Raw genomic sequence first — 23936 nt, 5'->3', positions numbered from 1 at the left:
GGTCTCTAACTCCTGAGGTCAGGTGATCCACCCGCCTCGGCCTCCCAACGTGCTAGGATTACAGGCGTGAGCCACCATGCCTGGCCAAAAGCACAATAATTTTTTTTTTTTTTTGAGACAGAGTCTCACTCTATCGCCCAGGCTGGAGTGCAGTGGCATGATCTTGGCTCACTGCAACCTCTGCCACATGGTTCAAGTGATTCTCCTGCCTCAGCCTCTCAAGTAGCTGGGATCACAGATGCCTGCCACCACACCCAGCTAATTTTTTGTATTTTTAGTAGAGATGGGGTTTCACCATCTTGGCCAGGCTGGTTTTGAACTCATGACCTCATGATCCACCTGCCTCAGTCTCCCGAAGTGCTGGGATTACAGGTGTGAACCACCGCACCCAGCCAAAGCACACTATTTTTTGACACAGTCAATTTTATCAATCTTTTCCTTTATGGTATTTGAATATTTTAGAAACACGTGTCTGACACCAAAGTCGTTAACATATCCCACTATATTTTTTCTAATACTTTTGCTTTAGTAATTTACATTTAGATTTTTATTCAGTTAGAACTTATACTTGTTAATGGTGTGAAATAAGGATCCCATTCAATTTACTTATACAAGAGAGGGGAGAGTGAGGAGGCTTTTGGCAAGGGCTACTGACATAACTTTCACATACAAAGGCTTCAAGAGGCTTTTCATCATGTCTTCTTAGAAGCCACAGCCTGTACATAAGCCAACTCCAAGCCTGAACTTCTCTAGGGATCCTTTGGGCAGACTAGATTCCATTTTTAAAACCCTTCGGTCATTCGCATATAACATGCAGCATCTTCTGCTACAATTCATGAACACTCTTCCCTGTTTTGCCTTTTACAAAATTATTTCATCCACTCAAAAGCCTCACCTTTTTTTTTTTTTTAAGAATCATTTACATTGTTCTATGTGTATAATAGAATCTGGAGGGAAAGACATTGTGTGCCGAGTTTTTGAACTTCAAAATAAAATTCTACTTTTCCCAATTAAAATTCTGAAGTTGACAAATTGCCTACCAGAGTTTGTACAAACTCATGCTCTTTTAAATTAGTGCATAGTATCTCTTTTTGTATGCTTTCAATGCAGTTTTATTAATCTGATATTGAAAAAAATAGTATTTCATTGGCCTAAACTGTATTTCTTCTGATCCTAGGGAGATTTAGTACTTACCACATATTTATTGGTCACCTGTTGCCTCTTCATATCCTTTGACTATGAGCTGGAGAAAAGCGTCATTTCCTAAGGGATTTTTATGAGCAATTTTATGTTAAGGATATGAATTCCATAGTTTATATGTGCTGCAATAATTTTCTCCCATTCTTAGGTTTAAAAAATATTGTATCTTTTACTATCTTTGATCATATAAAAGCTTTATAAAGTTCTTATACAGTCAAATCTATGACTTGTTGACAGGAGGTGGGGAGGCTTCTGAATCTCATGTTTAGGAAGGCCAGTCTCATTCCATGATTAGAGTGTGTCACAGACTCCTCTAATCACTGTTTGTTCCACATTTAGATAAAGCACTTGAAAGTAACTTTCACATATGGAATGAATTGTTGTATAGAGCACGATAAATTTTTCCAAAACTGTTAAACCACTGATGGTATAGGTCACTTTTGTTATAATTTTCTTTATATGTGTAACAGCATGAATATGTATGTTCACACATACATGTTAAAACCTTACAAAATTTATTAGAATTTTGTTAGGTAGAATCTGTAAATTAATTCATGGGCTACTGACATCAGTATGATAGTGAATCTGTCTTACCATATAAAGGATAAAATATTTATTTGTCTTCTTTTTCATCCTCCATTAAACTTTCGTCATTCTGTTTGTATCTATAGTCACATGTGAATTGATCACTGCATTGATTATATGCCAAAAGAATTCTGGGGTCAGGAAGTAATATTAAAAGAGGTCAGATGTAAAGAATCAGGGAGTGGTTTGAATGTTGGAGAAAGGGAAAACACATGGTCTGCTGAAGGTATTCATATGTATTTTAAACTTAATGCATACAGAATCAAACATGTTTGTGGGCCAGTTTATGAGAACTGACCTACAGTTTTGGTTTCTTTTCTTCACTAGTTTTGAAATTTTAGTAATTTAACAACCTTTATTATTTTAAATGACATAGATTTGATATAATTCATTCACCCAGATTTAGAACAGGGGTTCAAACTTATACTTTATTTTCTACTCATCATTGGTTACTGACTTGTTTCAAGATTTCTTTTTAATTTCGATTTTGCCTTTGTTTACATGTAAATGATGAATACATCTCAGTAAACTGTCTTATTAAAAATGACTTTTTAGGCCAGGCACGGTAGCTCACGCATGTAATCCCAGCACTTTGGGAGGCCAAGGCAGGCGGATCACCGGACGTCAGGAGTTAGAGAAAAGCCTGGCCGACATGTCAAAACCCTCTCTCTACTAAAAATACAAAAATTAGCTGGGCGTGGTGGTGCAGGCCTGTAATCCCAGCTACTCAGGAGGCTGAGGCAGGAGAATCACTTGAACACAGGAGGCGGAGGTTGCAGTGAGCCAAGATTGCACTACTGCACTCAAGCCTGAGCAACAGAGCAAGACTCCATCTCAAAAAAAAAGACTTTTAAAATAAGACATTAGCATCTTAGAACTGTTAAATATCCAGTGAATGCTGATACAAGCCACCATCTTACCCTATATCATGGACTCTAATGTAAATCCTACTGTTAGATACCCTCCTCACCTACTTTTAGAAAAATGCCTACCATTCCTAAAAAAAAAAAAACTTCACAATCTCTCAGTCCTGAGCTGCTGCATCTCTTTTTATTTCTGAGATAATCATGGCTGAGATGATTGGCTTTCTATGTATAGTATGGTTATCTTTTTACTTTACATTATGGTTTGAGTAATTACTTTATGCTAGGCACGCTGCTGAGCAATTTACATGCATTATTTCATTCTTCTATTAACTTCTGAGGTAGAACCATTATTATTCCCACACTATAAATAAGACTGAAGCTTACAAAGCACAAACTGCTGCCCCCAAATTAGAGGGCAGGAAATGGAAGTGCAAAGATTGGAACCCAGGTCTTTTTGATCCTGGAATATGTATCTTAATCCTGGATAAGTATTCAGAGAATGAGATGGATAGTGACACAAGATAGAAACTTTGGAAGGTAACCTGGAACAAGGTGTTAGAGGCTAGGTTTTTAGGCTATTTTGAAGAATGTGTGCTTTAACTTAAAAACCATGGGATGCCACTGAGGGATTTTAATGAGGGAGAAATGAGATTAAACATATTTTTAAAAATACAAATTTGGTTGCAATGTGGACATCTGACAGAGACAATGGTGAGTACAAGGAGACCAATTAGAAAGCTACTCGAGTATCCCATGTCAAATATATTAATGTGCATTGGACAAGGATGATGGGATGGAAATGGATTCAAGAGGTGGATTCCAGAAATATTCAGGAGATGAAACCTACAGGTCTTGGCAACTGATTTGATGTGGAGGGTGAGGGAGAGGAAAGAGTCAAGAATGACTCCATAGTATGAATTCTCTCATGATGAGCAAGATGTGCACGCTGCCTGAAAGATTTCCTGCAATCTTTACATTCATAGGGTCTTTCTCCAGTATGAATTCTCTGATGTAGAGTAAGAGATCCACTATAGCTAAATGCTTTCCCACAAACATTACATTCATAAGGTTTCTCTCCAGTATGAATTCTCTGATGTTGAGCAAGGCCTGCATTCTGGCTAAATGTTTTCCTACATTCCTTACACATATAGGGTTTTTCTCCAGTATGACTTCTCTGATGTTGTGCAAGTGATGAACTATTGCTAAAGGCCTTCCCACATTCAATACATTCATAGGGTTTCTCTCCAGTATGAACCCTCTGATGTTGATCAAGGTATGCAATTTGGCTGAAGGCTTTCCTACATACTTTACATTCATAAGGTTTTTCTCCAGTATGAACTCTCTGATGTTGAGCAAGGTGTGCATACTGGCTGAAGGCTTTCCTACATTCCTTACATTCGTAGGGTCTCTCTCCAGTATGAATTCTCTGATGTACAATTAGGTATCCACGATGGCTAAAGGCTTTCCCACACACATTACACACATAAGGTTTCTCTCCTGTATGAATTCTCTGATGCTGAGCAAGAAATGAACCATTACTAAAGGCCTTTCCACATTCAATACATTCGAAAGGTCTCTCTCCAGTATGAACTCTCTGATGCTGAGTCAGGTGTGCAATCTGGCTGAAGGCTTTTTTACATTCTTTACACTGATAAGGTTTCTCTCCAGTATGAACTCTCTGATGTTGGGCCAGGTGTGCATTCTGGCTGAAGGCTTTCCTACATTCTTTACATTCATAGGGTTTCTCTCCAGTATGTATTCTCTTATGTTGCGCCAAGTTTGCACTCTGGCTGAACGTTTTCCCACATTCAACACATGCATAGGGTTTCTCTCCAGTATGAATTCTCTGATGAAGAGTAAGGGATGAGCTCTGGTTGAAGACTTTCTCACAATCATTACATTTCAAAAGTTTCTTTTCTACATAGACTTTCCTATGTTTCATTTCAACAGATTTTTTTCGGTAACTTTTCTTTTGTGGTTCATGCTTATGTGCTTTTTCTTTGGTGGGAAAACTCTGTTGTATATCAAAGATTGTATCCTGGTGGAATGTTTGCCAAGATTTGTTATATTCTTTATTTTGAACTTCTGGAAGGATTTCTTTATGAGTGATGATTAATTGACTAAGATGTACCTCTTGACTTCCCAGCTGGTTCTTATACCAGTCCTCACTTTGACAGTCTTCTCTCAAACTGGGATAGTCAAGGCTATAACTAAGATGTCTTGCTCCCACTGTCACAACTTTGGATGATTCTTCATATGTCTCTTGCTTTGATGAAAATTCACTGTTTTTAAATACATACTCCCAATCTAAAAGATATCAAGAAACAAATGACTTTTGTATTTAATTCACTAGAAGAAATTTCTAAAACAAAAACGTGAATAAAATACATCACAAGTTAAAGGATTTAAAAGCTTATAATGCATTCTAAAATAATGACATTATAAATAATAAGAATTTAAGAGAGTTGATTAAGGAAATAATCATTGACAACCAGTAAGGTAAATATAAGAACAAAACAATGAAGGTGGTATTCTAAAAATCATAATCATCTTTTTATATCTAAGTTAATAACAGACTTCAAACACCTTTCCTCTCTTGTCATAGGTTATCCTGCATTCAAGCTAAGTTATCTTTTATAAGCCAGTTTTATGATGTTAATATGATTAAAAACTCCATTGGAATCCCAGGCCTAAAAACAACAGTAGGCAGTATTAATATCCTTATTAGGATACATGTAAAACTTTATGGTTGTTCATATTGTTCATAAAACTCTATGGGTAAACATCTGTAGTTAGAAAAAAGTCTTCCAGAAAATCATTTTCTATGTAACAAACTCCAACCATATGTAAACTTTCAATTGATCCCTGCAGCTAAGATGCCTTCATATAAGAGTAGTTTTGTATCAAACTGCTTGGTCTTACTAACCTAGCACAGAACTTAGTCTGCCTTCCCCTGTCCAGTTCCAAATCAGATCACTTCATTTTTCTGCTTAAGATTTTCCTGTTTCTTACTACATTTAGAATAAAGTGAAAATTCCTACCTTGGTTTATGAAACTCTACATGACCTGGTGTTCTCTGATCTTATCTTCTACTACTCCCTTGCTTGCTTACTCCACTTCAGTCATATGGGAATTCACTTTATTTCCACTTTAGGAGCACCAGACTTGCTGTTTCTCTGCCTGAAAAGCACTTTCCACAGATATCTGCTTGATCCCTTCTCTCATTGCACTTCTTCACTTGAGGTTCTGTTCACATATTACCTCTTCAGTATGGCCTTTGCCGAACATCCAATATGAAGTATTCCACACTCTTATGTTTCTCTTTCCTCCTGCTTTGCACTTCATAGCACTTAACTTATTTAATATCATATTACATGTTAACTTACTCTCTATTCTTATTAGAATGTAAACATTCATGTGCAGGAAGTTTTTTTCTCACCCTTGAACACCCATTGCCTAAAATAGCCTGGACAGATAGAAGGTGCTTAGTATCTTTGGAATAAATACTGAATCAATAAGACATAAAACACCACACTAATTCATCCTCTTATTAGAATGACATGCTTGCATGAATGGGGTAAATGTCTGAAACCAAATGGAATATTACCACTAAACTTAAATATTACAGTGGATAATGATATTTGGAAGGAAAAGAATCTGAAGGCAACATACTTAAATTGAGGCTGCTAATTCCGCTGTGCTGCCTCAGTGCCCTTCCAAATTCCACTTTCCTCTCTAAACAGTTGCAAATCACACCCATGAATGCCCTATAAAAAGTCAACATGAAAATTAAATTCTGAAGACTGATGGGTCAAAAAAGAAATATGAAATGACTGCCAAGGAGCAATGATCTAATTAAACCCAGAATTAAGTTGATAAAACTATAATAAGGAAGTAAAAACACTAATTCTCATTAGACTGAAAAGTTAAGGATAGATATTATAATCGTTACAGGCATGATTCTTACATTTTAGAGTGTATCAGAATTAGATAAAACTTGCTAAACTACAGATTGCTATACCCCACACACAGAGTTTTTGATTGAGTTAGTGGAGGTTGAGGGCTGAGAATCTTCGTTTCTAATAAATTCACAGGTGGTGCTGCTGGTCTCAAGACGACATTTTGAGCATCATTGCACTATAGCACCCACTGGAAGCATAATATAAAAAGGTACAACAAGCCAGCAGATAAAATAAAATGGAATTATAAAAAATATTCAAACATCCCAAAAGAAGATAGAGATGAGCAAATATTTTTTAATGAGAAATATTAAAGAGAAAACAATAGTAGACTCAACTCAAATTATATAAATAATTAAATATTAATGAACTCCTTATTCAGTTAAAAGGCAGAACTTATAGGAATCAACAAAATGAAAGACACAATTATATGCTGTTTATAGAAACCTCACATTACATATAAGAATACATTAATAATACAGATAAAGAAAGATGTAACATGCAAACAGTAAGCATAAGGCTAGATTAACTATATTCACGTCAGATAAAATAGACTTTAAAACTGAGTATTACCAAAGATAGAGACGTATAGTAATAAAAGGATCAATTCATCAGAAAGAAATAATCTTTAATGTCTGTGCACCTAATATAACGCCTCAAAATACATAAAACAAAAATTGAAAGTGTAAGAAATAGGTAATCCTATAGTCATAATAGGCAACTAACACATGCTTTGCTCAGAAACTGACAAAACTAGGAAAAAATAGTAACAAAGAGGATCTCAACAGGGTTAACTACTTTGATCTAATTTATATTTATACAACACTACACCAAACACTTGTACAACATGTATTCGAGTGCACACAATGTGTTCAGTAAATAAGATAGACTATATTCTGGGGCATAAACCAAGTCTCCATAAATCCCAAAGTACCGAAACCAAGATGAGTATGCTCTCTAACCTCAACAGAGGTTAGAGGTTATTGATTTTTAAATCAATAATACCTAGTCAACTCCAAACATCTGAGAACTAAACACATTTCTATATAAATCATGGGTCAGAGTATACAAGAGAAATTAGAAAATATCTTGGTTGATAATGACAGTACAACATATCAAAATCTGTGGGATACAGCTAAAATGGTACTTAAAGGAAAAATCTACAGTTTTCAAATGCTTATGTTAGAAAACAACTAAAAGTCTAAAAATCAATAATCTAAGATGTCACCTCAAGAAGTGAGGAAAAGACCAAAGTAAACTTAAGGAAAGTAGAAGAAAAAGTTAAGAAAGAAAATTAACAATATAGAAAAACAACAACAGAGGAAATAAAACAAAAGTAGGTTCTTTTAAAACATCAGTTATCAAGAAAAAAAGAACAGATATCAGCAACACCAGAGGAGTTATCATTACATAGCCTACAGCTGTTTTTTAAAAACATTAATAAATTGAAAAACTCAGATGAAACACAGAAATCTCTTGAAAGACACAGCCTACCAAAGCTGATTCAACAAAAATCAGATAACCTGATTAACCCTATATCCATTAAAGCTGTTATGTAAAAAATACTTCAGGCCCAGATGTCTTCATTGGTGAATTCTATCAAATATTTAAAGAAGAAATAATACCATTTTATTCAAACTGTCAGAAAATAGAGAAAGATAAACACTTTCCAACTTGTTTTCATAAGGCCAGTATTATCTTGATACCAAAACCAGATAAAAAAATTATAAGAAAGTAAACCCGCAGGCTGGGCGTGGTGGCTCACGCCTGTAATCCCAGCACTTTGGGAGGCCGAGGCAGGTGGATCACGAGGACAAGAATCGAGACCATCCTGGCCAACATCATGAAACCCCATCTCTACTAAAAAATACAAAAATTAGCTGGGCATGGTGGCGCATGCCTGTAGTCCTAGCTACTCGGGAGGCTGAGGCAGGAGAATCGCTTGAACCCGGGAGGTGGAGGTTGCAGTGAGCTGAGATTGAGCCACTGCACTCCAGCCTGGTGACAGAGCAAGACTCCATCTCAAAAAAAAAAAAAAAAAAAGTAAACCTGCAGACCAATGTAGCACATGTACATAAGGCAAAATCTTTAATAAAACTGTGCAAATGAAATCTAGGAAAATATTAACAGCATGATCTTGACCAAGTAGAGTTTATCCCAAAAATGCAAGATTGGTTTCACATTTGAAAATCAATCAATGTAATTCACCATATTAAAAGGTTAAAGAGAAAAAAAATCACATGATCATTTCAACAGATGTAGAAATAGTATCTGATCCATTTATTATAAAAATTATCAGCAAACCAGGAATAGAAAGTAACGTTTTCAAACTGATCAAGGACATCTAAGAAAAACTGACAGCTTACACTGACTTAATAGTAAAAGACAGAATACGTTTTCCCTTAAGATTGAAACAGCACAAGTACATTTCCTCTTACCCCTTCAATTACACATTATATAGGAGGTCCTAGCCATTGCAATATATCAAGAAAAATAAGGTATAAGGATCAGAAGGAAAAAAAAACTGTATTTGTAGATAGCATGATTGTCCATCCAAAAAATCCTCATGGACCTACAAAATAACTGTGAGGGCAACCATTAAATGAATCTAGCGAGGTCATAAGATGTAAAGCTAATATAAAAATCAATTTACATTTCTGCCTACTAGTGGCAAACTATTAGAAAACTGAATTGTTAAAAAAAATTCTATTTATTATAGCACTCAAAAAACTATTACAGACTTAGGAAAAAAAATTTAACAGAGTACCACTACACTGGATACTGCAAAATATTCTTAAGATAAATTTTATTATTTTTCCTTTTTCTTTTTCAGACAGAGTCTTGCTATGTTGTCCAGGCTAGTCTCCAAGTTCTGGACTCAAGCAATCCTTCCAAATCAGCCCCCCAAGTAGCTGAGATTACCAGCGCACACCATTACACCCAACTTCAAGACATTTTTAAAGACTAATAAATGGCTTAATAAACCATACTTATATTAGAAGACTCAATGTTAAGAGGTCAGTTTTTTTCAATTGACATACAGAATCAATGTAATCCCAACAAAAATCTAAGTTTTTTGAGCAGAAATTCTCAACTTCATTCTAAAATTTATATGAAATGCAAATGATCTAAAACAGTCAAGGCAATTTTACAAATTGCTCTATCTGGTATCAAAACTTACTACAAAGCTACAGTAATCAAGGCAGTATGGAACTGGTGAGACAATAGACATATAGATCAATGGAACAGAAGACATTCCAGAACCATACCCACACATATGTGGTCAAGTAATGATCAGGAAAAGTAGCAAGGTGATAGGTGATAGAATTAGGAAGGGAAAGTCTTTCCTGACAAAGGGTCTTGGGGCAACTGTATATCCATATGGAAAAAAAAATGAACCTCAACCTTTACCTCACACAAGACACATAAATTAGCTCAAAATCATTCACAGAGCTAAATATAAATGCTAAAACCTTAAAACTCCTAGAAAAATATCTCTGTGACCTGGGAGTAGCAAGAATTTCTTAGATATAAGAAGCACCAACCAAGACAAATTAATAAATTGGATTTTACAAAAACTGCAAACTTTGCCTCCAACAGAGGTGGCAGCAGAAAAACAAAAAGGCAAGCCATAATTGGCATACATATAAGCCAATACATATAAATGATAAAGAACTTGTTTTAAGACTATATACAGAACTCTTACAAATCATAAGATAAACAATCCAATAAAACATGGGAAAAATGTTTGAACAAAGTTTTCATAAAAGTTATATGCATGGCCAGTAAACATATGAAAAGAGGCTCAACATTATTAGTCATTCCAGAAATGCATATTAAAACCACAATACAACCTTTAGAATGACTAAAATTAAAAATACTACTGACGATACCAAGATTTGGTGAGAATGTGGATTAACTGGAAGTCTCATACACTGCTAGAAGAATGGTATAATTCCTTCAGAAAACTGACAGTTTCTAACAGAGTTAAACATATACCTATCATATAACTCAGTTCTTCCATCTTAAGTATTTACCCCCCAAAAATAAAAATATATGTTCACACAAAGTCCTGTACATGACAGCTGCATAGCAACTTTATTTATAATAGCCCCAAACTGGAAACAACCCAAATGTCCATCACCAGGTGAATGGATAAATGAAATGTTGCATTCATACATGCAACAATACAGATAAATTTCAAGATGATTATCCTGAGTGAAATAAGCCAGACATAACAAAATACATACTGAATGATTCCATTTACTTTAGATGCAAATTAATAAAAAATAAAGATCAGATTCATGTTTGTTTGGAACTGGGAGTGGAGAGTAGGATAGATGGAAAGAGACACACGCAATCTTTTGGGGTGATAGAAATACTAAATGTGTCTTGATTGTGGTGACAGTTTCATGGGTATATGCAAGTGTCATCAAACTGTACAATTTATATGTATCCAGTTTACTGTATGTAAATAATTCCTTCACACTGTCTGATCAAATACAATAAAACCAGAAAACTCTCTTTTAAACAACTCTGGGTGAAAGAAAAAAATGTTTAAGGTAGATTATCTAGTATGAACAGCAGTAACAAAAACACTAAGTATCAGAATCTACAGGAGATAGACAAAGATAAACTTAGAGGAAAATTCGTAGTCCTTAATAATCTCATTACTAAATAAAAGAATTAAATTAATAGATTAAGCTCTCATTTCAGCACTATGGAAATCAAAATAAATAAGAAAATTAGAAGGAAAGAATTAGTAAGGAGAAAATATTTTATGAATTAGTACAGAAAAAAACACAAAATTGGAAAAGAATATGAATACATAAATCCATAAGCTAGTTCTTTAAAAATAAACTGATTTATGAGTAGAGCAACCTAATAAATGTATTCTTTTTTTTTTTTTTTTTTGAGACGGAGTCTCACTCTGTCTCCCAGGCTAAAGTTCAGTGGTGCAATCTCAGCTCACTGCAACCTCCACCTCCTGAGTTCAAGTGATTCTCTGCCTCAGCCTCCTAAGTAGCTGGGATTACAGGAGCCTGCCACCACACCTGGCTAATTTTTGTATTTTTAGTAGAGGCAGGGTTTCACCATCTTGGCCAGGCTGGTCTTGAACTCCTGACTTCATGATCCACCCACCTCGGCCTCCCAAAGTGCTGGGATTACAGGTGTAAGCCACCACGCCCGACCAATATATTCTTTTAAAAAAAGAATAGTTACACAAAATAAAAAATTAAAATTGGAAACCATTATACATATAAAAGAAAACTAATTGTAGATTATTTTGCTCAAATTCATGAAATCTGATAACCTAAATGAAAAGGACAATTATCTAGAAAAATTAAAATGCATAAAATTTAACCAAAGACAGGCTGGGGGCAGTGGCTGATGCCTGTAATCCCAGCACTTTGGGAGGCCCAGGTGGGCAGATCATTTGAGGTCACAAGTTCAAGACCAGCCTGGCCAACATGGTGAAACCCCATCTCTACTTAAAATACAGAAAAATTAGCTGGGCGTAGTGGTGCATGCCTGTAATCCCAGCTACTTGGGTGGCTGAGGCAGGAGAATTGCTTGAACCTGGGAGGTGGAGGTTGCAGTGCACCACTGCACTCCAGCCTGGGCAACAGGTCAAGACCTCATCTAAAAATATATATATATTAACCAAAGACAAATTATAGAGATGCCATTTACCATGGAGGATACTGAGAAAGTTATCAAAGATTCACTTCCCCACAAAGGCCTCAGCATCAGGCTTTATCTCTCAAACTCTTAAGACCAGTGATCTCATTCATTCACACTGACATCTCTAAATCATTCTATTTTTCTGAGCCCCCATCTTCTAAACCAGTTGCATGTTGCATTTCTTTGCTTGGAACTCTCCTCATCTTATATATATAACCCTCTTATGTCCACAGCCAAATTTTTCATCTTTCCTCCTATCAACTTTTGCTTCTGATTGTTTCTATTAAGTGTTATCATCTTCTAGTTACCCAGAATTGAAAATAAAATTGGCTTTCTTTTTTCTTTGTTGGTGTATAAGCCTCTGAATAATCCCAAGAATTTAGCAGAATCCTCTTCTCAAAACATAAAGTCAATGAGGCTTGGTAAAAGAATAAATAAATAAATAAATGCATCAATCCTTCAATCTAAAAGGAATGAGTAACTGAGAAAGGGAAAAACAAAACAAAACAAACAAAAATAACCTGGCTTTTTTTTTTTTTAGACAGGCTCTTGCTTTGTTACCTAGGCTGGAGTGCAGGGGCGCGATCTCAGATCACAGGCTCAGGTGATCCTCCCACCTCAGCCTCCCACATAGATGGGATTACAGGCGCGTGCCACCAGGCCTGGCTAATTTTTTTTTTTTTTTTTTTTTTGTATTTTTAGTTTTGCCATGTTGCCCAGGCTGGTCTCGAACTCCTGGGCTCAAGTGATCCACCCACTCTGGTTTCCCAAAGAGCTGGGATTACAGGCACCTGGATTTTTAAAAAATGAAACCAAGCAACTTGTATAAAACTAAAAGGCAAGGACAGGGAGATGCTGTGACATCTGGATCCAACAATAGGAAAATGGGTTATCAGAGAAGATTACTGTCAGAGAAGACTGTAACTTGTGAGAGAATATAGACAGAGAGAACAAATTGAGGAGCTCATACTAAAGATGCCTCAATATTTCTTCCCAGGCTTTGAGTCTTTAAGAAGAGCTACCCAGGAAACGTCAATTATGAACTGAAATCTTTCAGAATTGCTGAGCTTTTCCTGGCAATGGCTTCTGTCTCCCTATTTCTCTCTCACTCACCAGGGCATGGGCCTCTTGTTCCCTCCTTCTTCACCATCCAGGGCTCTTTTCCTTGCTCCAATAATGAGATCACATCTGGCTTAGAAACAGAAACTCCTGCTTACAAAAAACAAAAGGGGAATTAGGCAGGTCTATAAATAAGATCAAGTTTCTGCATCATCAAGAAGGTGGGAGAATAATGGGAGGGAGCTGAGGAATAAGAATGGGGAAGATGAAGCTGCCAATTCTACAAATTCAACCTATTTTGGGAAGCACAAGAAAAGGAAATTTAGTGAAGCACGTCAGAGGTTTCCCAAATATTACATTGGAGCTCAGTCCCATGTACAGATTCTGAATTAAGGGGACATGTCCTTACCCAATGATACCAAGCTCCTGTAGTTCTCCAACATCACTTTCCTGTACAAATTCCTCTGAGCAGGGTTCAGCCATTCCCATTCCTCTTGAGAGAAATTTACAGCCACATCCCCAAATGTCACCAAATCCTGAAATGACATAAACACATTCTTGCTCAACTAGTGTTCATATCCTCACATGAGCCTAAGTTAAAAAGTTAAATTGTCTATACTTTTAGAGAAAAATATTGCACATAGCAAAACTTTCTGACAGTATCTTAGGTTCTGAGCAACACATGTCAGGTAATTGCTAAATGACTTCTTTGTGCTTTGTTTTGATATTCTGTCATGGAAAGTATACAATTTGAGAGATAATCCTACTGGTAGAGAAAGGATTTATCACACACACAAAATTGGAAAACAACAGAACACTGTAAATAAAGTATAAAATATGTTATTCATACTAAATGCCAGAGCATTTCTCAATATTGGAAAATCAGATACACCGGGGCAGTAAAGAGCTTCGAGGAGGAAACAGGCTAAGCTTTATAATGTGTACATGGTTGAATCTGGCATTTTTCCAAACTCAGTACAATGGAATGGTCAATGTTCCAGAGACATCAATAAGGTTGTATAAAAATATATATAAATATGTTTGATGCTTATATTGACTTTCCAAAATTAAATATATAATAGAAACAGTAAACAAAGTTATATACTGACTTGCAAAAATATGGCTTAAATGTATACCATAACAGAGAGCAATCAAGAAGCTGAGTGACAGATCACCTGATGTGTGAAAGTATGCCACTGAATTTGTGCTTGGTGGCAAAGACAACATTTGCCAACCAGCTGTCAAAGTGATGCATCTCATCTCACTGATGACCTAAGGTATCTCACGTATTTTTTACATTTCATATTACACATTTCACAATGACAACCTAGGTCTTGTGTGTGTTGAATTTTAAACATTTGTTTTACACAAATTCCTCTCCTGTAGATGGTTTAAATGAATGGAAGGCATATGGTTTAGATGACCAGCAGCTTGGTGTCACAAAAGGTATCTGAATCAGGCCAGGTGTGGTGGTGCATGCCTAAAGCCCCAGGTACTCAAGAGGCTGAGGCAGAAGGATTGCCTGGGATGCTTGAGTCCAGCCTGGGCAATATAGTGAGACCCCGTTTCTAAAGACAAACAAACAAAAAGGTATCTGAATCAAAACAAGAAAAAATTTGTCACAGATAAAATGAAGTTGATCTCAAAGACTATGACTTCTAATGTCTTGAGAAGAAGAAGAGTGATATTACAATAAATGTTTGAATCTGTATAATCAGTACTTGATAAGAAGGAATCAAAGAAGTACAATAAAAGTTACTTCAATATGGGACAAATGTTCATTGGAAATAAAAATTTTCCTGAGACTGTGTGTAAGAGGCGACAAATGATTGCCTAACAGCTCTTGATAACCCCACTAAGTTGTAAAGATAGTTGGTAACTTATAATCATGCTACATGAGACAAAATAATAGTAATTTAAGCACTATTAATTTACTTAGTGAATGTCTCCAAGTCTGATAATAAAATGCATCAAAAAATATCTACAGCTCTCACTAGAGAAACATACACAATTGTGCCTGTTTGATGAGCAAGAGAGTTTTAAAAATGTTACAGTACAGCTCCCAAATAATACTACCGAATGTTGAATTAAGGATCTTTAAGATAACACGGAACAAGACCTAGTTTGCTCCCTAAAAATTAAAAATGGGTCTTCTTCCTAACAAGATAAATCAGCTCAAGACTTATCAGGGCTTGTTGTATGGTTAGGCATATGCATCTTGGTTTTGACATGTCACAGAGCCTGCTCTTAAGCTGGGCTGACATAGAGATGGCATTCAATGGTACACACCTGAACATACTGATTTCTTAAATACTGAAATACTGCCACACTCATTGATAAACAGCTACTTCACTGAGTGCTGCTAGTGACCACACCAGATTTCTCCATAAGGAATTCAGCAACTGAAGATTAATGCCCAGCATGGCAGCAAACTCCAGGATCCCAGCTAGGATAAGTTCTGCTGTGTGCCTTTGCCTTGTTGGTTGTCAAATATGAACATCACCCCTACTCTTATATGACTCTTTGCAGAGTAATGCTCCTATTGAAGAAATACTCAAATACATCAGTGATTTTATTTAGAAACCTTTTTAATGGAAAAAAAAATGAGTCAATGTTAATTGCTACTGCCGGAAAAATGCACAAAAATGTTAAGGAGGTTATCTATAAAGGAAGCAAAAGTATGGCTCCAAGAAATATCAATTACACGCATCAGCTGCTTAAAAAGCTTCTATCTCTGAAACATTTCTTAATACAAGGAAATCTGAGGAAGTGACTTGTAGCTTCAAAGAAGGAAAAGAATGTGAATCAGGTCTAAAAATTAAAACTCGTGCTGGATAGGCCTGGGCGCTGCTAATCATCAATTCTACTGTAACTCAAATACTTCAATACAAACTCTTTAAAATTTTGTGCGGGAAAGTGTTCCACACACATCATTTATTCTGTAGACATTAGCGAAGCAGCTTTTGCTACATGAAGTCCTTGAGACATTTTTTAGCTGCACACATGAACTAATAGAGTCTGTGTTTTAACTATCTGACATTTTCCTGTCAGCCAATGAGACCATGAATACCTTGTACATTTTTTTATATTTACTTTGATTTAATTTAAAATATTGCCATCATTAAAGAAACTTAAAATATACTTTCCAGTATTTCTACCCTCAGTGATTTCCCCCCACTCCTTTGTTTTAATTTTATTTTTTGGGAGACCGGATCTTGCTCTGTCGCCAAGGCTGGAGTACAGTGTCACAATCATGGCTGATTGCAGTCTCAACCTGTCAGGCTTGAATGATCCTCCCAACCTCAGCCTCTCAAGCAGCTGGGACCACAGGCACTCATCACCAGGCACAGGTAATTTTTTTTTTTTTTTTGGTACAGATGATGTCTCACTATGTTGCCCAGGCTGGTCTCAAACTCCTGGGCTGAAGGGATCCTCCTGCCTGGGCCTCCCAAAGTGCTAGGATGCTGGGATTGATTACAGGGGTGAGCCACCTCACCCAGCCAATTTTTTCCCTTTTTAAGTTAAAGAATTGGAAGTCTTTCACCCCCATGCCTACTCCCATGTCACCCTACCTCCTAAAAGCAATTATAATTTATAGTTAGTATAATCTGCTCAAACGGTTCCTTATACTAATGTCTATGATTATGTATATATTTCACTTACTGATAATGTCACTTTTATTGGCTGAGTACTATTATACAGTATAATTATGCCCTATCTTATTTACTAACCCCCATGCTTATTTTCAGTTGGGTAAATCTTAATTTTTGTTGTTGTTGCTGTTTGTGTTTTTGACATGGAGTCTTGCTCTGTCGCCCAGGCTGGAGAGCAGTGGTGCGATCTTGGCTCACAGCAACCTCCACCTCCCATGTTCAAGCAATTCTCCTGCCTCAGCTTCCCAAGTAGCTGGGATTACAGGGGCCCACCACCACGCTCAGCTAATTTTTTTGTATTTTTAGTAGAGATGGGGTTTCACCATGTTGGCCAGGCTGGTCTTGAACTCCCGACCTCAGATGATCCACCCACCTCGGCCCCCCAAAGTGCTGGGATTACAGGCGTGAGCCACCACACCCAGCTGGATAAATCTTAATGTTTTACTATGATGTTGCATAGGTCTTGAATTATTTTCTTAAAATCGATTCACAGACGTCATTCTCTCCATTGAGACCAGGATTTCACAAAATTACTTAACCTCAAAAAAATTTTTAATTACACTATTTTGACCCAGCAACGATACGGTCAAATTGTTTTTGAATTGAAAAAACAATTCAGGGTGGGAGTAAAGTGTTGGCTTGCACTCGAAGACATACTCGAAGAGTTCTTCAGGTATTAGTAATACAGAAGGAAAATGGAAGCATGAAAACACAGGAAGAAATTAAGAGTTCTAAAGCAGTAATTACAAATAGAGCAATAAGAATATTGTGGAGTTAAATCACCATAGGCATCTTATCCTGTTCAGGAAGTGATAAGGGTACTAATCATAGGAGGAAGATTACAGAAGAAAGAAGGATTACTACATATGAGTAATGGATGAATATTATCTTAGAAAAGCCACTAAAAGAACAATAAAAATTATGTATAATTACTAAAATAATAAGGAAAAATACCTGACTTAACCAAAAAAAAGCAAAAAAGGAGAAACAAAGGAAAAAAGAACAGATGGGATAAATGGAAAACAAACAGAAACACAGTAGCTTTAAGCACGTACGTATAAGTATTACATTAAATATGTAATAAACACTAAAAGATTAAGATTATCAGGCTAGCTTTTTTAAAACTAGCCAGTTATATGCTGCTTACAAGAGGCATACTTTAAATATAATCTTTAAAGGCAGAGGTTCTCAAAAACCATGCATTAAAATCATCCTGGATACCTGTAACCCAGCTACTTGGCTACTTGGGAGGCTGAGGCAGGAAGACAGCTGGAGGCCAGAAGTTCAAAACCAGCCTGGGCAAAATAGTGAGACCCCATCTCAAAAAAAGATAATCATCATCCTGGGAAACCCAATAAAAATGTGTTTTCTTAGGTGCCACCAAGAGACCATGATTCAGGAGGTCTGGGGTGGGGTCCTGGAAACAGCATTTGGGCTAATGGGTTCCACCTATTCTACACATCATACTTTCAGCTTTTTCTTTCTTCTGTTACCAAATCAGTAGCAGGAAAGAAGAGGTGGCTAACTCTAGCTATCCTGGTCTCACTCACAGATAAGGAATTCATCTGAATGCCTATTACCAACCAGGCACTATTCTAAGAGTCAGGAATACAAAGGTGAACAAAACAAAGTTCCTCCTCTTAATATTCTAACAAAGGAGAAAAACATTAAACATAAGGTCATACATGTCAGGTAGTGACATATGCCACAAAAAACAAAAGAAGGTAAAGGGTGATTAAGAGTGATAGGCTGTTTATTGTAGATAATATAGTCAAGGTAAGTCTAAATGAAGAGGTAAGGTTTGAACAACAATCTAAATGAAATGGGGGAGCAAGCTATGTCAACATGTAGGGGGATGGGGGGGCAAATGCAAAAGTCCAGAGACAAGAAAAAGCACAGTAAGTCTGAGGGACAGCAAATTCACAACTGTGATTAAAATGAAGAGAGGTAAATACTTGTAGAAAATGAGGTCTAGGAAAGCCAGGACCTGAAGCACAAAGGGCCTTATAGGCCATGGTTAGGACACTGGATTTCATTCCAAGTAAGATAGGAAGGCAATGAAGGTTCTGGGCATGGGAGTGAAATAATGAGCCCCATCACAGACTCGCTACAGTGTCCCTCATCATTTTCTACCACCCTTTTCATATCATCACTCATCATCATCGACATTACTGACCCTCAATTTTTATTACAACTTCTTACATCTGACTCAGTCACTAACTGGTTACGTGGACATGTCACTTTCTTCCCCTGGCCTCTTTTTCTTCATCTGTAGAATGAGAAACTTGGACAAGATCACCCATAATTATCTTCCTGGCTTTACTGTTTTATAAGCCTAAGACTGTGCTGTCTAATACACTAGCTACTAGCTACATACGGCTAAATTTAAATCAATTAACATGAAAAATTCAGTTTCTCAGTCATGCTAGTATATACAAGTCTTTGTAGCCACATCTGGCTAGTGGCTACTATGTTAAACACTGCAGATATAGAACATTTCTATTGTCAATCATCACAGAAAGTTCTATTGGACAGTGCTGTACTAGTTGATTTCTGCATCTGCCTCACCTTACTCTTTCTCCATTTTCCATATTTTAACCTAGAGGTGTGTGTGTGTATATATATATATTTAACCTATACAATGCATTTAACCTCTATGTATTTTTCTCTAAGTGCAGAGAATTTTTTTTACTAGATGAATAATCCATCCCTTTCCCACTGATTTAAAATAATATCAGTACATCATATAATAAACTAGTATACATTAAATTCTATGAAGACAAAGACAGGGCCTATTTATCACAGCACTTGGCACAAGGTGTTTATTTTTATTTATTTTTATTTATCACAGCAATTAGCACAAGGCCTTTAATAACTATATGTTCAGTGAATGAAGATTTCCATTCTTATGGAATTCTTATACTTGGATTTGTTTCTTAACATTGTATGTTTCTTCTGGCTCCATTCCACACTATCAACTGTTTTCATTATTATAGACATATACAGCTTTTATTTTAATGCAGATTCAAGTGCTCTCCCATTAGTCTTTTCCAAAACAAAGTTCTGCTATTTTTTACATATTAATTCCACTAATCTTAACTGGATGACCTAGAATAACATAGCTGTGGACACTCAGAATGTCCCTAAAATGGTACCTCATTATTCCCTGGAATACTGTTCTTCAAAGCCCACGGAGTGCCTGGAAAAATCCCTGCCCTAGCTGACCCACACTTTAATATTCAAGACTCAACACATCTCACTCCTCAAGATCACTTTGAGCAAGAGACTTTGCCCTGTTCTGTGACTAAGACCACCTGATAACCCTCCTGTCTTGCCTTCTTTTCAAACCTAGGTCTATGGAAAAGCTTTATTTATGCTAGTGGTTACATCTGAACATACACCTCAGTCTCAATCAACTTACTACAATGAAGGTTTACATATGCCAATGAGTGTATTTTTGCATCTTGAAAGCTTCTAACAGACACTAAACCCAGAGAAGGTGCTGAACTATTTCTTGAGTGAAGATAAAAATGCTGGCTGTGGAAAAAAAGATAACTAGGCTTTTGGAGACTTTTACTGGAAAGCAAGATATGAGGAACGAGTCACTGGATGAATGGAACCTTATTAGGTTGCAGAATTTTGGAAGAAAAACAAAATGTTCGTATAACCTAAAAAATAAGATGGCATTTTAGGGAAGAGAGAAGAAATGCTTCCTTACCTTGGACATGGCTTTAAGGATTCCAGAATTTGACAGTTCTTCTGTCCTACTCCTTCAGCTCCTCTGTGGGAGAGGGACAGTATCCTGAGAAAGTCGAGCTGGAGAAGGAAAAGAAACCATAAAATGCCAGGCCTGCCCTGCAGCTCTCAGTATCATCAGCCTAGAAACCTTTCCTTCTCTTTCTCCTTCTTTCCCCAACCTCAGGAGTAAATTAGAGGTATCACTGAGCAATTCATTTATATCTAAATTTACAATTCTTTTTCCCACATGCTTTGGATCTTAAGAATACAACATACGGGCCAGGCGCGGTGGCTCACGCCTGTAATCCCAGCACTTTGGGAGGCCGAGGCTGGCGAATCACGAAGTCAGGAGATCGAGACCATCCTGGCTAACACGGGGAAACCCCGTCTCTACTAAAAAATACACAAAATTAGCCAGGTGTGGTGGCGGGCGCCTGTAGTCCCAGCTACTGAGGAGGCAGGAGAATGGCGTGAACCCAGGAGGCGGAGCTTGCAGTGAGCCAAGATCGCGCCACCACACTCCAGTCTGGGCCACAGAGCGAGACTCTGTCTCAAAAAAAAAAAAAAAAAAAAGAATACAACATACCTGTTCTGTGTTTAAGTTACCTCCCCATTTATAATTTAAAACAAAAACAGCAATTACAGAATGGTATTACCAAGCAAGGATTTCCCCCTCTTTCACACATGAAGGCTCTTCATCGGAGTAATTATTCAAGGCATCATGGTAATAATTAAGCCAAACTGGAAACCAGTTCTAACTTTTAATTCTTTCCACCCGATCATGATGTTGAAAGGAAATATGTTCCCACCCTTTCTGCAAGGATGACAGATAAAGCTACAAAGTGAAATTTCTCAGAGAAAGCATCTCTATACACAGAGTGAGTATCAGAGGGTCCATGTAGTGTGGTGGACACTCGATCAAAGAGTCAAGACGGCCTACTTCTGGTCCTGGCTTATGACAACCCACAACTGAAAACTAATCTCTTGACTTTTCTGGGCAATCTCCTCAGACAGAAAGAAGGAGAGAGGGAGGGAGGAGCAGGCTATGCTTGAACAGTCATCCAAACCCCCTATGGTGAATTCTTGTCCAGCAGACCTCACTGCCTTGAAGAATAAAGCCATTACCTATGAAGTGGCATAACTCAGTGGTAAGAACTACTAGGCTTAAGGATCAGAACACCTGGTCTCAAACAGCCAAACCACCACATGCTACCTATACAACCTCTGGCAAGTTAGGTAACCACTGCAAACCTGTTTCTCTATCAGTGAAATGGTAACTATTCCCTATCAATTGTTGGGAGGATTCTGAAATGATCTACATAAAGCATTGAGCACAGTGCTTAATTTTCATCTTTCTGTCATTTATTTTCATAACCAGCACATGGTAGGTCTCCCATTCCTTTTTCCTTTTAAATTCCTCACGTGCCCCCAGAGACTGAGAGGGATGGAAAAACTACTGTGCCAGAGGACAAGCAGCCAGCGTGGTCAGCTTTTCAGGCTTAAGGCTGAGGCTCCTGTCTGTCTCTCCCTTTTCAGCTCTCGTCCCTCCCTTTCTCCATCTTTTCCCCTTTATCTCAATCTTTCTGTCTCTCCACCACAACAGCAGTCTCCCAAACCCCAGAGCACACCAGCATCTCCAAGCACCCACACAGCTTCCTGCCCACACAAATCACAGACAACAAACCACATAGTTTCTCATTCTGGCACCTCCCCTGGCAACCTATGGACATGCCCCCACATTGTAGCCCGCCCTGCTCTCACAATGGGTCATATAAGGCCATTCTCAGTCACACTGTCACACTCACTGTCGGGATGACATACAGTGCTAAGTCACACCATCTCCCTCAGTCTCACATAATCACACACACTGTCATGCACAATCTCAAACACTGTCACATACAATCTTAGTCCAACAACAAAAACTCTGTTCACATACAGTTTCACATACAGTGACACAGTCTCACACACTGTCACACAAATTCTGTCGCAGTTTCATGTGGTCCCATATCAACAGCCACACACCGTACACAACCACACATAGCCTCACACACGGTGACATGGTCTCACATACTGTCACAGTCTCATCTAATCCTACACACACGGTCAAGCTCTGTTCACAAAGTCACACACACTGTCACACAGTCTTACATTATCCCACACACACAGGTCACACACACAGTGACATGGTCTTACACACTGTTCACACGTGGTCTACACATAATGACAGTTTAACACTGTCACACATTCCCAGTCTCACACATGGTGACGTGGTCTTAAGCACATACAGTGTCACACAGTCCCACACGGTCCCATATACTGTCAAAGGCTCCCGCATACACCGGGGCAACGGTCTCATACTGTCGCACACATTCTCACACCCAGTCTCATACTGTCACACATAGTCCCACATTTGTCCCACATGGTCTCACACTGACACACATATTCACACACGGCCTCACATTCTCACACTGTCACACACGGTCTCAAATTCTCACACAGTCACACATGGTCTCACACACGATTCCACACTGTCAAACACATTGTCACACACGGTTCCTTAATGTCTCACACATTCTCACACACTGTCACACACGGTCCCACACATGGTGGCATGGCCGCTCCCGGCGTCAGCTCCATCCCGCGCTCCTCACCGCCTCCTCCCTCCAGTGGGCACCTCCTTCGGCGCGGTCCTTGGAGGCCGGGGCTGGGCCAGGGCCCGGGCCAGGGCTCGATCCTGGCCGGCGGCCGCGCTCACAAAGGCGCCGCAGCCCTAGGGCAGGCCGCAGGGGCCGCTGGGAAATGGAGTCCGGGGCCGGCGCGGCGCAGAGGATGCTGGGATGTTGGCCGAGGGCCCCGGGCGGCCGCAGATCCCGCCGCTCAGTTGCGGGTAGTTACTGCTGCGCCCCTTTCCCTAGTAAGCCCACCTCCGCTGGCCTTCAGAATCCCACCCGGACCAGCTGAGCCCTCTCAGGCCGTTCGACTGTCCGCTCCCCCACCCGTTCCACCCGTTCCACCTGCGCAGGCGCAGCTGGTTCAGGTCCCCAAAGGCTGCCAGGCCGGGGTGCCAGCGCGGTGAGGCGCACGCGCAGTGACCGCGTCCGCGCTCCAGCGCTCCGGGTGGGGCTGTGAGTCCATCGCTGAGAAAAGGGAGCTGGAGGACCAGTGTGGAGCCTGAGCCAGCTGGAGAGGGG

The 23936-nt window shown here is 38.3% G+C and overlaps 1 protein-coding gene across 14 annotated transcripts, besides 1 other annotated feature; it reads right to left on the bottom strand.

Annotated features, from left to right (window-relative positions):
* Positions 1-484: 484 nt before the first annotated feature.
* ZNF583 (zinc finger protein 583) lies at positions 485-23835 on the bottom strand. 14 transcript variants are annotated; one of them, XM_047438234.1, is made up of 5 exons: positions 23760-23835; positions 20726-20823; positions 13764-13890; positions 13409-13507; positions 485-4958 (listed from the first exon to the last, which is right to left on the bottom strand). In XM_047438234.1, the coding sequence occupies exons 2-5, from the start codon at positions 20732-20734 to the stop codon at positions 3481-3483; spliced, it is 1713 nt and encodes a 570-aa protein (XP_047294190.1). In that variant the 5' UTR covers positions 20735-20823; positions 23760-23835; the 3' UTR covers positions 485-3480. The 14 variants fall into 14 exon arrangements, with proteins under 14 accessions (XP_047294190.1, NP_001153332.1, XP_016881839.1 ...); NM_001159860.2 differs by having other exon boundaries at positions 13409-13504; XM_017026350.2 differs by having other exon boundaries at positions 13409-13504; positions 23670-23788.
* Positions 23284-23493: a silencer, noted in NCBI's record as "silent region_11069". NCBI's record gives its function as "represses an Ori minimal core promoter by ATAC-STARR-seq in GM12878 lymphoblastoid cells {active_cell/tissue: GM12878}" and the evidence as "EXISTENCE:reporter gene assay evidence [ECO:0000049][PMID:35858748]".

The sequence above is a fragment of the Homo sapiens genome, chromosome 19 (genome assembly GCF_000001405.40).
Source record: "Homo sapiens chromosome 19, GRCh38.p14 Primary Assembly".
Lineage (NCBI taxonomy): Eukaryota > Metazoa > Chordata > Mammalia > Primates > Hominidae > Homo > Homo sapiens.
The sequence above is the reverse complement of the archived record's forward strand: the minus strand, read 5'-3'. Positions and strand labels throughout refer to the sequence as shown.

Coding starts and splice junctions, on each gene's coding strand:
- ZNF583 (XM_047438234.1), bottom strand. Junction 13,508..13,763: donor CAGGAGCTTGGTATCATTGG/GTAAGGACATGT, acceptor GTTTTTTGTAAG/CAGGAGTTTCTGTTTCTAAG. Junction 4,959..13,408: donor AACAAGAGGCCCATGCCCTG/GTGAGTGAGAGA, acceptor GATATCTTTTAG/ATTGGGAGTATGTATTTAAA.